Source organism: Homo sapiens, chromosome 5 (genome assembly GCF_000001405.40).
Source record: "Homo sapiens chromosome 5, GRCh38.p14 Primary Assembly".
Classification (NCBI taxonomy): domain Eukaryota; kingdom Metazoa; phylum Chordata; class Mammalia; order Primates; family Hominidae; genus Homo; species Homo sapiens.
Genome location: NC_000005.10, coordinates 68,290,377 through 68,302,763, shown reverse-complemented (window position 1 = coordinate 68,302,763; position 12,387 = coordinate 68,290,377). Strand labels below are relative to the sequence as shown.

The following is a 12,387-nucleotide window of genomic DNA, read 5'->3' as shown; positions in this document are numbered from 1 at the left end:
TTTGTACGTCCCTCTCCCCTCTACTACTAGACTATGTCTTTCAGGTCTAGACCCTCACTGTGTCTACATGTAAACACCATATACATGCAAAGTGGTATTGCCTTAAGTCCACTTAGCAATCAAAACAAATGGGAAAGTTATCCTACAGTAAGACTTGTGTATCTTGACTAGGTGATACAATGTAAAATCTGCATTTGAGGTGTAACTTAGCTCCCTGTCTACAGTCCCATGTCATCCCTGCACTGTGAGTGTTCAAAATATGCAGACTGCACAACAGAGACAAAACTGGACACTTCGTTCTTAGAGGATGATTCTCAAGGTTTGGGTATGAATGCGGAGGAGGCGAGAATTGAAGGATGATGGGCATTCTAGTTTTCCTATAGCGAGAACGTGCCTTGAAGGGACATTACCTAGGTGTATTTCCTCATTTAAGATGGTGAAATTGGCCGGGCGCGGTGGCTCACGCCTGTAATCCCAGCACTTTGAGAGGCCGAGGCGAGTGGATCACGAGGTCAGGAGATCGAGACCATCCTGGCTAACACGGTGAAACCCCGTCTCTACTAAAAATACAAAAAATTAGCCGGACATGGTGGCGGGCGCCTGTAGACCCAGCTGCTCGGGAGGCTGAGGCAGGAGAATGGCGTAAACCCAGGAGGTGGAGCTTGCAGTGAGCCGAGATAGCGCCACTGCACTCCAGCCTGGGCAACAGAGTGAGACTCCGACTCCGTCTCAAAAAACAGTGAAATTATGAAAGACAGCTCATATGTATTACTTACATGTGACCACTCAATGTCCTTCTCAACTTTACAAAAATGAGATACTGTGATAACAATCAAAAGGGAGTGGGTGGGAGACAACAGAAATAGCAGCAACATTTATAAGCCAAAAGGTAGCTGTTTTAGAAAGATTTCTTAGGTGATAAGTGAAATTTCAACCCAAAACTTCAGTTTCAAAACAACCTTTATTCTGTTTGAAGATCTAATACAATGCATTAAAGCAACTTAAAACAAGACATAGCTCCATTGAATCTATAACTTGAACGAAATGTCAAGGAGGCACACTACCCCCACCCCCCACCCCAGTTGCCTTGTGAAGGCAAAGTTACAACTGACCGTGACATCCTCCCTCTCGTCAAAAGACCAACTTTATTTTAACAATGTCATATAAACAGATTTTTAAAAACATTGAACAGATTGTAGCTTTAAAAAATACACAGGTATAAATGAGTTTTTTTTTGTTTTGATTTTTTTAAATACATATATATATGTGCATATATATACATATATGTATATACATATATATATACACATATATATATATATACACACACATATATATATATATATATATATATATATATATATATATATACACACACACACACACACACACACACATATATATATATATATATATATATAGCAGCATCCTGGGCAGCTAATGCTATCTCATGGTGACAAGTTTCATGTTAAGTTGGATAGTCTTTCCAATTGACTCAATTCTATTTCCTCCCCACCCATAATACCAGTATTTTATAGAACTAGCTTTTTAAAAAATAAGAATTTGGCATTTTGGAACTTTGTCCCATGTGAGACATTGTGCTTTAAACTGCCCCTTTCTAAAAATGACCCTAAACTCAAACAGATCTCAGTGTCTGCGTTTCAACTAACTTGGATACCATACATAGCAAAAGCACAGTTGTTAAAACCAGCAGATTTTTTCTTCCAAAGGAACATCAGTAGGACTTCCCAAACATGTTACTAGTTCATAACCAGCTATATGACAAAGCAATTGGTTCCCCACAGTGACAGCTCACATAAACACATTTTGACTCGACACACTGAAAACAAGGATTTCCAAGCTAAGCAAGTCATCAGACCAGCTCCCTAAAAGGAGTAACTTTTAAAAACACAAAAAAGCCAAAGAAATATGAACTTCTCACTTCACTTACAAACAATTTTCACCTTTGTAAGACAAAACAAAGCAACCTCAAAGGGAAAAATCCCATACACATAAGTAAGAATTGTACTAGACGTTCGCTTGTTATGTACTTTATGTACTTGAACTCAACAACTACTGTGGATCTGTTTTGGCTGAAAGGTGTACTGGAAACACAGTCCATGCACATATACATATATACATTTATCAAAGGCCATGAAGTTATCAGATGTTGCAAACACATGCTTTTTGCCTTTTCACATGGTTATGATCTCTCGTGTGTGTAATGTGAGGTCCCAATGCTCCCACTTCTACGCCCAATCACAGCCTCACTGCAGCTTAGCTTCTGGCTTTATCTTTAGGATGCTACACTGGGTGGGAAAAACTGACGCATGGATAAAAATCATATATCAGGAGTGCCTCTGCTGTATCTATTCATATTCAGCCGTTCAGACAATATTGTTAGGACTGTCTGATGAAATCCAAAGTGGCCGGCTAGCAAAGTATCTAAAACGACAAATGCGGTGGGCAAGCTACACTGTAATCAAAAAGGCATTGGGCAGAACAGGTCTGGTGTAACTCAAGTCATATGGAATGATGAATCCTACTTTGCTGTTCAATGAAAAGATCTATTGCACTTATGTTTGTGAGATGCAAAAATAAGGCAAATGCCTAAATACCGTATCATCTTGCAAAGAATGTTGAAGCACAAAGATTCACAAAACTGTAGCTTTTAATGAAAATATTCAATCTCAGATCTTATATTTTAGAAATAAAAATTTGTATGTAATAGCATACATGTGCTACCAAAAAAATACCCACAAACCTAGTTTAAAAACTGTTAACTAATTAACTGTTAGACTTGTGTATGATCTAGAAGGATATCACAATAACTTTAAAGCAGAGACGCAGACTAAAACCAGGGAAATCGTCAGTTGTCTGGCGATGAGAGGGAAATGGTCAGATCAGTAGAGTCAAGTTTGAGGGCTAACAGTCTTGCTATAAGACTGACTTTTGCTTAAGTATGAGTAGTTTCATGTAAAGAGGACAAATAATACATTCCACAGATTTTTCACTCAGCTGCAAGACTGATTCTTTCAAAAGGAACAACATTAAAAAACAAAGTAACAGAAAACCCTCACCCTAGTACTTAAACAGAAATATAGCTGTGGGTAAATCTAATATGGAGAAAGAGTAATTTGAAATTGCAAGATTTCATTTAGTCTATTAGGGTAGTGACCATATTATGGTTGCTAATTAGTCTTTATGCCTCCCAACACATGTACAGTTCCTACTGAACATACCAGCTTTTGCATATCTAAATCAGGAAGAGAGACCTCTCACTCCTGCCCTAAATGGGAAACATGATGCTAACGTTTCCTTCTCCCCCCCGTAGTGAAGCACATACAATGATTAGAATGAATGAGAAGGACTGCCACTTGGATTCCTGCAATGACCATGACTTTAGCGAGCTCCACACAGTCCAGAGCAGTGACAGTATGACTGTGTCTATTTGCTTTATGTTCTAAACCAAATGGAAAGCTAGGAGGGTAACCAACATACCACCAAAAGTATTTTTCAGATCATGCTTTTTTTTTTCCTAAAATGAGTATTTGCTGGTCATGATGGATAGTCTAATGTGACAGAGATGATTATCCCTTTAAACCAGTGTTCTAAACAAAGGTGAGCGCTGTTCCAGGAACCCAAAAACAAACTTGGCACTTCCTTCCTAAGAACTGAAATACCTGACCAGTCACACTGTATTAGAGATACAGTAGGTTTGTAATTGTCATTAATTGATAACAACTAGCAAATCAAAGTGAGAGAAGACTGAAGTAGAAGAAGCAACTTCACTTTGCAGTTATTCACTTCTCTGTAAATCATGAGAAAGTGCATATAACCTTGCCTCCCCCTCCCACCACCCCACTTGATACATCCCTTCACTACATTCCCCCTCCCTAGATTCAAGAAGTTCACAATTCTTTATGAAATAAACATTGCCAGGTACCGTATTTTAAGAGTCTTAAAACAACATTGTTGGACTCAGCAATACTTTGTCATATTCATATATCTTTTTCATTTCTTTTTTTTATTGAATAAAGCAGCTTTGAAGCTTATCAGGCACTGCCCAACAAAACAGTCCAAAAAAAATCTGTTATGAACTTTTTAACCTTGGGCTAACAGCCAAGTACTCTGTACAAGAAAAACTGTAAAATATTTCATAGTTTTAATTCTGAAGCCATTTTTTTTTTTTACTGGCATCCTGTACATTTACTTTTAAAAAAGGATAACAAAAATGAATATTAACAAAAATCCGGGACAACAATATTTTCAAGCAACAAAAACTGGGGTGGGGAAGCTTATTCTGAAGGTACATTTAAAACTGAAATAACAACTTAATGAAAATTAAGAATTGCATAGCGCTGTGAATTTAGCCTTCAGCAAAACAAAACAGAAGCTATTTGGTATTGATACAAATCCATCTATTTGATAGTTAGTCATCCAATATTATGTACATATTTTATATACTGAATGTCATTTTAAGTCCTGTTTTCCAAACTCCATTTTTCTGTTGCTGGGTTTTTGTTTTTTGACAAGTTAAACACTTTCTGGCACTTTCTATGACAGAATTTCTTCTGAACATACATGAACTGACATTCTCCCAAAGCGTCCCTTGTGAGTGGACGTGCCTTTCTGCTACATATCGTTCATTTGTTACAAAATGAAATAATCCACAGTGCGATGTGTCTGGGTCCACCGTGCACAGCAACATCCAGGCTAAACCAGGCTGGACCAAACCTTCTCAGGCCAGGGTTCTTCTGCCTCTCTCTCCTCCGCTCTCCAGAGTCCCAACTTTCAGCTGGTAAAGCTTCAGAAAGCATTAACAAGCACCATGGTTAAAGGCCTCTTTGTCCCTGCACGCAGAGATTTTTGCATTTCTTTTTCTCTTTGTGTTGTATGTGGTTGTGGCTTTAAATTAAACCAAAGAAAAAAAGAAAAAGAAGGGATAAGCACTCCAGCTTAGGAACGTGTGGTCATCATACAGCCTTAGGCTGCATGTCTTCCCCTACTTCTTTTTTGTGAAAGAAAGCTCTAGTCCCATCCAAAGAAAGATGGCTTCGTTTCTGCAGCTCAATTCACAGATCAGACTGGAGAGGAGCCCTTTGCTTTCCAGAGGCCTCAGGGTGGCTGAACTTCAGGAGAAGGATCAAAGAGTAAGCGCTTCATCGCCTCTGCTGTGCATATACTGGGTAGGCTAGTGTGACATTGAGGGAGTCGTTGTGCTGCACAAGGGAGGTGTGTTGGTAATGTAGCACCAGTTCTTTCAGAGAGCTGTACAAGTTATAGGGCTCGGCAAAGCCATAGCCAGTTGCTGTTTTGTTTATGACACAATGCTTTACTTCGCCGTCCACCCTAGAGAGGAGAGAAGAAAAACTGTCTTTTGAGCTTGTCCAAGACAATTCACAACTCTTCAGGGCATCTTTAATAAAAAGCATTATTGTGCAGTCTCAACTTGGGGAAAGGGTCCTAGGTTACAACTGACACCTGGCCGAGTGCCTTGGGTAGGTAACCCAGCTTCACTGACTGACTGTATTTTCATCTTTAAAATGGTTTAAAGGGAAGACAATAGTAAAATACATGTAATACAGTTACTTTGAGAAATGAAATGAGATCATGCATGCAAAATGCTAGATAGAATGCCTGACATGCAGTAAGCATGCAACAAGTGGTAGCTTCCAATCATGATGAGGACAACTATCTGCAGTGCTCCATGACTAGCAGTGTTACTATTACTCCCATTATGACTATTCATAGGATTCCTTCTTTCTGGCTGTCCTTGAGGTGTCTGCACAACTCTCCATCTCTGCATGTGCCCTTATGCACAGTAAGGACAAAAGTACCCTTCTTTGCTGTAGGACTATTTCTCTCATTAAATGAAAGGTGATCATGGAGTGTAACATACTTTTAGAACCATTCCCTACTAGAGGACATTAATTTCTTGGAAATGGTGATGTCAGTGATCCAATGTGGGTGTACCTATCTCAAGGATAATGATCAGAATCCTTTTTTTTTTCACCTGTTCCTGATGAGTATTTTTCCTATGGGTGATGTTCTCACATAAATTACCTCAGATTCTAACTATAGTAGCCTTGAGAGGCAAAAAAGGCAGGCACTGCCACTTCCATTTTAAAGATGAGAAAAAAAGACTTGGCGATTTCTCATGATTAATTAGCACTGAATGGGAATCCAAACCTAGTCTTCCAACTAAACAGTAGGTATCTATTAGACTGTATTAACATACACTTCTGGCTAGACTTTAAAATGGTATTACAGCTGCTTTGGTTTCTCTTCTACATTATTGTACTGTAAGCTTATTCAAGACTAAAACTATGTCAAATCTTTGCCCCCAAAACTCAATGAATGAATAAATGAAACATCTCTTCATGAGATGTTGTAAAGAAAAGTTTGCTGGAGATACATACACTACAGAGCAGGCATAGCAGCCCTGTTTACTGCTCTCCCGGACAAGAAAAGTGCCATCTCGCTTCCCTCGCAACAGGTTTTCAGCTTTGTTTCGGTTGCTGCTTCCAACATTCCATGTCTTCTCATCATGATGGGGCAAATCTTCATCATCTTCCACCAGTGAATATTGGCTAGGCAGGCAGGACAGAAAGTTTCTAAATGAAGAGTGCAGGAGCCATCAGCCTGCCTTGCTGTCTTCCCTAGGCATACCCCCGTCACTTCCCTCCTGGCCCCTACCAAGCCAGTCAGACTGGCCATCACATGCCTGCCTCTGCCCGACCTGAGTTTTCCTCTCCTGGTATTCAGCCTCCAGTGCAACCTCCCAGGACAAAGAGTTACCAATCAACTGTACTATTTCTGTTTTCAAGCAACCACACTCAGGTACCTGGGCAGAGTGGAAGGTATTAAAACAATCTCGTTTATCCAGTTTAGATCAGGAAATTGACTAGGCAGATTGCCAGTTTTTGACTAATTCAAACAAAGTATATACTTAAGCTTTAAAATATATTAAGCATAATTATTTTTTCTCTGACTGTTCCAAAAATATTTTGGGATTTTTCAGATGTTCAGGGACATCATTATGGACACAGAGAGTTGTTTCACAGCATTATGAGTAAAAATAAATCCTAGTCCTCCTTAGCTAAGCTTTCTTTTTTTAAAATTCTGGATAATGGCACTGAGTTTATACATTTTCTCCTACAAGATGTTCCAAACTCAGTAAAATTCCTCACTTGTTCTAAAAACAAAGCAAGTCATGCATTTTCCTAAAATGAGAAAAATCTTCTGCTATCACCATCTTTAGTAACTACTTACTCTTCAGTGTTTTCATTGCCCAACCACTCGTTCAACTTCTTTTGCCGAACACCTTTTTGAGTCAACCACCTGAAAAACAGTTTTGAAAAGAGAACGCATTAACTCATCCTGAATTGTAGCAATCACCAATTATTCATGTATAGGATTCCATTTCAAATACTTACATCAAGTATTGGTCTCTCGTCTTTCTCAGCTGGATAAGGTCTGGTTTAATGCTGTTCATACGTTTGTCAATTTCTCGATACTCAGCTGCCTGCTTCTTCAAGTCTTCTTCCAATCTTCTTCTACTGTCAATAATTTCACTGATTCGAGACTTCAACTTATCATAATTATGCATAATCCTGCAGGCAAAAGAAACGTATTTGTTATTATCTGGGTACATCAGGAACGGTCCCCAAAGTTTATGAAAAGTTTCACTATGGTTTCCCAGCAGTTTTCCTTAGGTAAAGCGTGGCTTCTCTTCCTGTCATTTTTTTTTTTTTTTGGAGTGGCTCAACATATTTTATTTTATTTTATTTTTTTATTTTTATTATACTTTAAGTTTTAGGGTACATGTGCACATTGTGCAGGTTAGTTACATATGTATACATGTGCCATGCTGGTGCGCCGCACCCACTAACTCGTCATCTAGCATTAGGTATATCTCCCAATGCTATCCCTCCCTCCTCCCCCCACCCCACCACAGTCCCCAGAGTGATATTCCCCTTCCTGTGTCCACGTGATCATTCAAAGCACAGAAAGCGAGATCATCTTTAAATGGTTTTAGAGGATTTTGGTTATCTCTAGCACAAGAACAAGGGAAACACCAACCTTTGTATTTCTTTCTCATTGCCTTCACGTTTAAACTTTTCTATGTATTCTTTGCTGTACCGCTCTTGGGTCTGGCACTGTTCTTCAAATATTTTTATGGTTTCATTAAATGCTTCAATAGCTGTCCTTTTCATTTGGATTTCCTGCAACATAATTTTAAAAAGATAATGTCATACCTTTCATAGAACAATCTCTTACTGCAAGACACTACCAGGACATTTGATCTGTATTATTAGCAGAGTGGGACTCAAATTCATAAAATCCATTAAAACAGTATCCCAGAAACAAGTATTTCCTCTGGAGAATTTTCTCAATCTATGAAAAATGATTGCGTAGCAATTTCCTATAGTTTTTATCTTCTTAAAAGCTATTGTAGTTTATAGCATCCCTGTTGTTTTCTGTTCCCTCTGGCATTCCCAGATACATGAGTGACCAGTGAAGAATAAGGGTCTAGAAAAGCACAGCAGTATATAGCCCTTCCTTTTCATGGTAGGATATATATTAATGCCTAAATCTCCATTTCAGGGATTAGACAAGTCTGTGAAACTTCCAGTTATTACTAACTTCCAATCTAAACAGGATCCTTCTATCACGAATTAAATCAACTTGAAACTCAGTGACTGCTTCAGTTATCACGTGAACTTAATTTATTATTCTGATACTTAAAATTTTTGGTTTAAAGCTTTAGAGATATTACACTAGAATAATCAACAATGATTCACAAATAAATGCTCTCACCCCCACCTCATTCGTAAAAACTCAACCTTTTAAATTCTTTTTTCCATGTTAGTCTTTAAAAGTTTAGAACTCTTATTTTTTAATCTGATTTTCATAGAAAACTCACCTGGGATGTGCGGGTATATTCTTCATATAATCTATCATATTCTCGACTTTTTTCTTGAAACTGAGTGTTATATTCATGTAATTTTTTCCCTACAGCTTCAATATTATCTTCTTTGACAACTTGATCCTAGAAAGATTAAAATAAATTCAATGGATAAGGTATTTAATCAAATAACAATTGTTTAACAAAATAGCTGACATGGAAACATCTTTAAAATTGCAATTATGTAATTACGAGTGTCAAGTTTTTTAGACTTGATTACATGTAATTCATCTGCTTCAAATGTTTTCTAAGTATTAAAAGGATCTTGTCTAAACATCGTAACTGGATAATTCATTCAGTTTTTATTACCTGTTGGTATTTGGATACTGGATAAAGTAATTTCACATCCAATTTGGGATTATACTGAGCTAGAGATTCATTCCGGTAGTGGTTTATTAATTCAACCACAGAACTGAAGGTTAATGGGTCAGAGAAGCCATATTTCCCATCTCGATGAAATATTTTGATTAATTTGTTATTTCCCCCTTTCCTGTAAAAACAATATAAAAATAAAGGTATTAACATTTTGGAATAAGGAAATATGTTTTAATATCAGCCCAAAACCCTAATTTCAGCTATATTCCCTGGCTTACCTTAGTGTAAGAGTATAATCACCATGCATTTTAGTAGACGCATCTCGTACCAAAAAGGTCCCGTCTGCTGTATCTCGAAGTTTTTCATTCACTTCTTCCCTGAAATGAAAACACAAAACAATGCTCATCTTAAGGTTTAGTGACCACAGATTTATATTTTTTAAAATAGGCTATTTTTTAGAGCAGTTTTAGGTTCACAGCAAAATCAAGTGGAAAGTACAGTGAGTGCCCATATTCCTCCTGCCCACATAGATTTAAATTAATGAATTGCATTTTCAGAGCTCACTAATAAGAGCTAATAATTTGTTTAAATAGAAATGTTAGCAATTGCAGTCTCATCACAAACAGGTGCATATCACTTTCACTATTGGTGTATCTGTGGTACTAAGTTTTTATTTTTTCAACCAAACATTACAATCTCTCTGACAAATGAGCACAGAAACTCATGATCTCAAAAGAGTTTCTCCAACCTTACTCCCCCTTCCCAAAGCTAACATAAAATGGCATTGTTTTCTTATTGTGTTTAAGGCAAGAATTCTTAGAGTTGTGCTTAATAGATAGAGTGCCTTCACACTCTGTTCTTAGGCAGTGCCACTTCACTCTGGCACTTCACTGACATCTCTGTCAATAATGAAACTTCCCGGGTATTTAATTTCCTGTGGCATCCAGCACCCACAGTTCTCCAGTGCTCAGTGACTTTTTCTGGTCGTCTTTGGAAGAGAACCAACTATGCTTCATGCTTATGTTGGATGATATCCTAAAAATGGAACTTAGCAAGCTGGTGCTTTTCTTTCTTTTAATCTAAAACTCTCTGAAAATGAAGTTTCTGTAGCCTTACCTCGAGATATCTCCCCAGTACCATTCAGCATCTTGTAAGGACATATTGTTATTCATACCGTTGTTGGCTACAGTAGTAGGTTTTGGTGGTTTAGGAGGCAGTGCTGCAGATGAAAAAGAAAAAGTTGTTCGCAATCCCAACTACATTAGAACTAAATTTCTTTAGATGAATACTTTTACTTTAAAAAAATAAAAAGTTAGAGTAACTGAAATATATAGCATTAGTTCACAATTCCATGCAATATGGAAGATAATTTTCTTAAAAAAAATCTTTCAGAGCATGGCTCAAAAAGAAATGAAACTGAAAAGGAGAAAAGAGAGAGAGCCTTAGAAACTAACAAATAAATTGGGCTGGCCATGTGAATAAATTTCAAAGTAAATCCAGAGTCATGACATTCTGTACTTCTAGATTCTAGTTATATTAAAGTTTCATGCCTGGTCAAATCCATCTAAAGTAAGAAACTATGAACATATGAGTAGCAGGAATAACATGAGTTGGCTTTAATTTCCTCTTATTTAATTACGAAAGACAAATTTGGTCTCTGTCCTCCACAAACTCTGTTGCAGTAATAAAAAGGCTCATCTACAGCAGTATGTTTTAAGAGGAGCAATTGGGTTTCTCTAATCTTAGTATTTCAGGCACTGTTCTGCCAAAAGCCACTTTAAGAAACTCTCATCTGTGCCCTAAATCTCTTTAATATGTTAATATTCTGTTGGATAAATTGTGCTCTATATACTAGGTCTGATTAAAAATGATATCCCCCTTCCTCAATGTCAAATCAGTATTCATATATACCAATTGGTGACAAATAAAAGACTGCAGTATTCCTGAATACCTTAAATGGGGGCAGGGGGAGAGCTAACATTGGAATAAAACAACTTACTTAGGAAACAAAATAAATCTAGGATTTTTAGGTAAATTCTGTCATAAGTTTTAAAGCACTGTTACTATTTTAACTTATACAAAAAATGATTTCAGGTATCTACCAAGAATATTTTACAAAGACTAACAATAATGGAAAGTCAACTTCTTTTTTCATTATAATATCTTAATATGAGAGAGCAAGCAAAGTCTCAACATTTAGAGAACTGAGTTGTAATCACTGCTACATTTTACATGCTTTCTAAAGTACCAAGTGTTATCACTGCAAAGTGCTACACTGTTCTCATCCACTGGCAACAGAGAAAAGCAGCACAAAAGATGCATCATTTTAATTACAGGGACAATATCCCACAACATAACTCACCCAGGGAAGGATCTCGATTAACAAAAGACACCAGTGAAAAACTGGAGTTCAATTCATATCCATTCAAGTAAGAATAAGCATTTACCACACACAGCCTGAGCTGCTTGCTTCCACAGACAGTCAAACAATCTGTTTAATTTTTAAGCCATGAGCAAACTAATTTTTATCAATGAAACAAATTAATAAAAACAGAAATCCAAAAAGGATCTTTTACAGTAGCTTTCGAAAAATTAAAAAGCCACGAAATTAACTAACTCTCTACAATAATACTGCAGTATTACCTGGTGGGTCCATTTCTATATAAAACATCAAGTCTGTGCCACAATTTATATCTGTCTTGGCATATTCTAAATCCAGGTCTTCCATATTCCAAACAGTATTGTACATTTGTGCAAGAGTTTCCTTGGCTGAGCTCAGTTATAAGAAAAGAGTCCGGCTTTCTTTGTAATGGTGTCTTGGAATTCATTTTAAAACCTATAAGGGGCTGCACTGAAACCTATTACATCACACGCCCCAGCCAATCAAGTCAGAAAAATGTCACCAGACCACTCCTGCTTCATCAGTTCTCTTCCATACCAGCCTTAACATAATGCCAACCTCACTAAGAAGCTACATTTAATAGAACTGCAATATATACATGCTCATCCTTTCAAAAAGGTGTTTAATTTGACTGTTCTCCAGCAGCGAGTTTTCTAATTCCTTGTTTATTACTCCTTGCAGCATGGTACGCTCTGCTGTT

At 37.3% G+C, this 12,387-nt stretch overlaps 1 protein-coding gene across 9 annotated transcripts in view; it reads right to left on the bottom strand.

The window, feature by feature from the left end:
• PIK3R1 (phosphoinositide-3-kinase regulatory subunit 1) overlaps nt 943-12,387 on the bottom strand; it is an 86,066-nt gene continuing 74,621 nt past the window's right edge. For 7 of the 9 annotated variants that reach the window (XM_005248542.4, NM_181523.3, XM_017009585.3 and 4 more), the window contains 9 exons: nt 10,403-10,505; nt 9,565-9,663; nt 9,281-9,461; nt 8,930-9,055; nt 8,086-8,228; nt 7,440-7,616; nt 7,276-7,344; nt 6,423-6,593; nt 943-5,352 (listed from right to left, as the gene is read on the bottom strand). In XM_005248542.4, coding sequence (XP_005248599.1) covers nt 5,163-5,352; nt 6,423-6,593; nt 7,276-7,344; nt 7,440-7,616; nt 8,086-8,228; nt 8,930-9,055; nt 9,281-9,461; nt 9,565-9,663; nt 10,403-10,505 — 1,259 coding nt within the window. In that variant the 3' untranslated portion in view covers nt 943-5,162. Of the gene's footprint in view, nt 5,353-6,422; nt 6,594-7,275; nt 7,345-7,439; nt 7,617-8,085; nt 8,229-8,929; nt 9,056-9,280; nt 9,462-9,564; nt 9,664-10,034; nt 10,188-10,402; nt 10,506-11,929; nt 12,101-12,387 lie in introns of those variants that run through there. The other 2 variants (NM_181504.4, NM_001242466.2) reach the window with 2 other exon arrangements.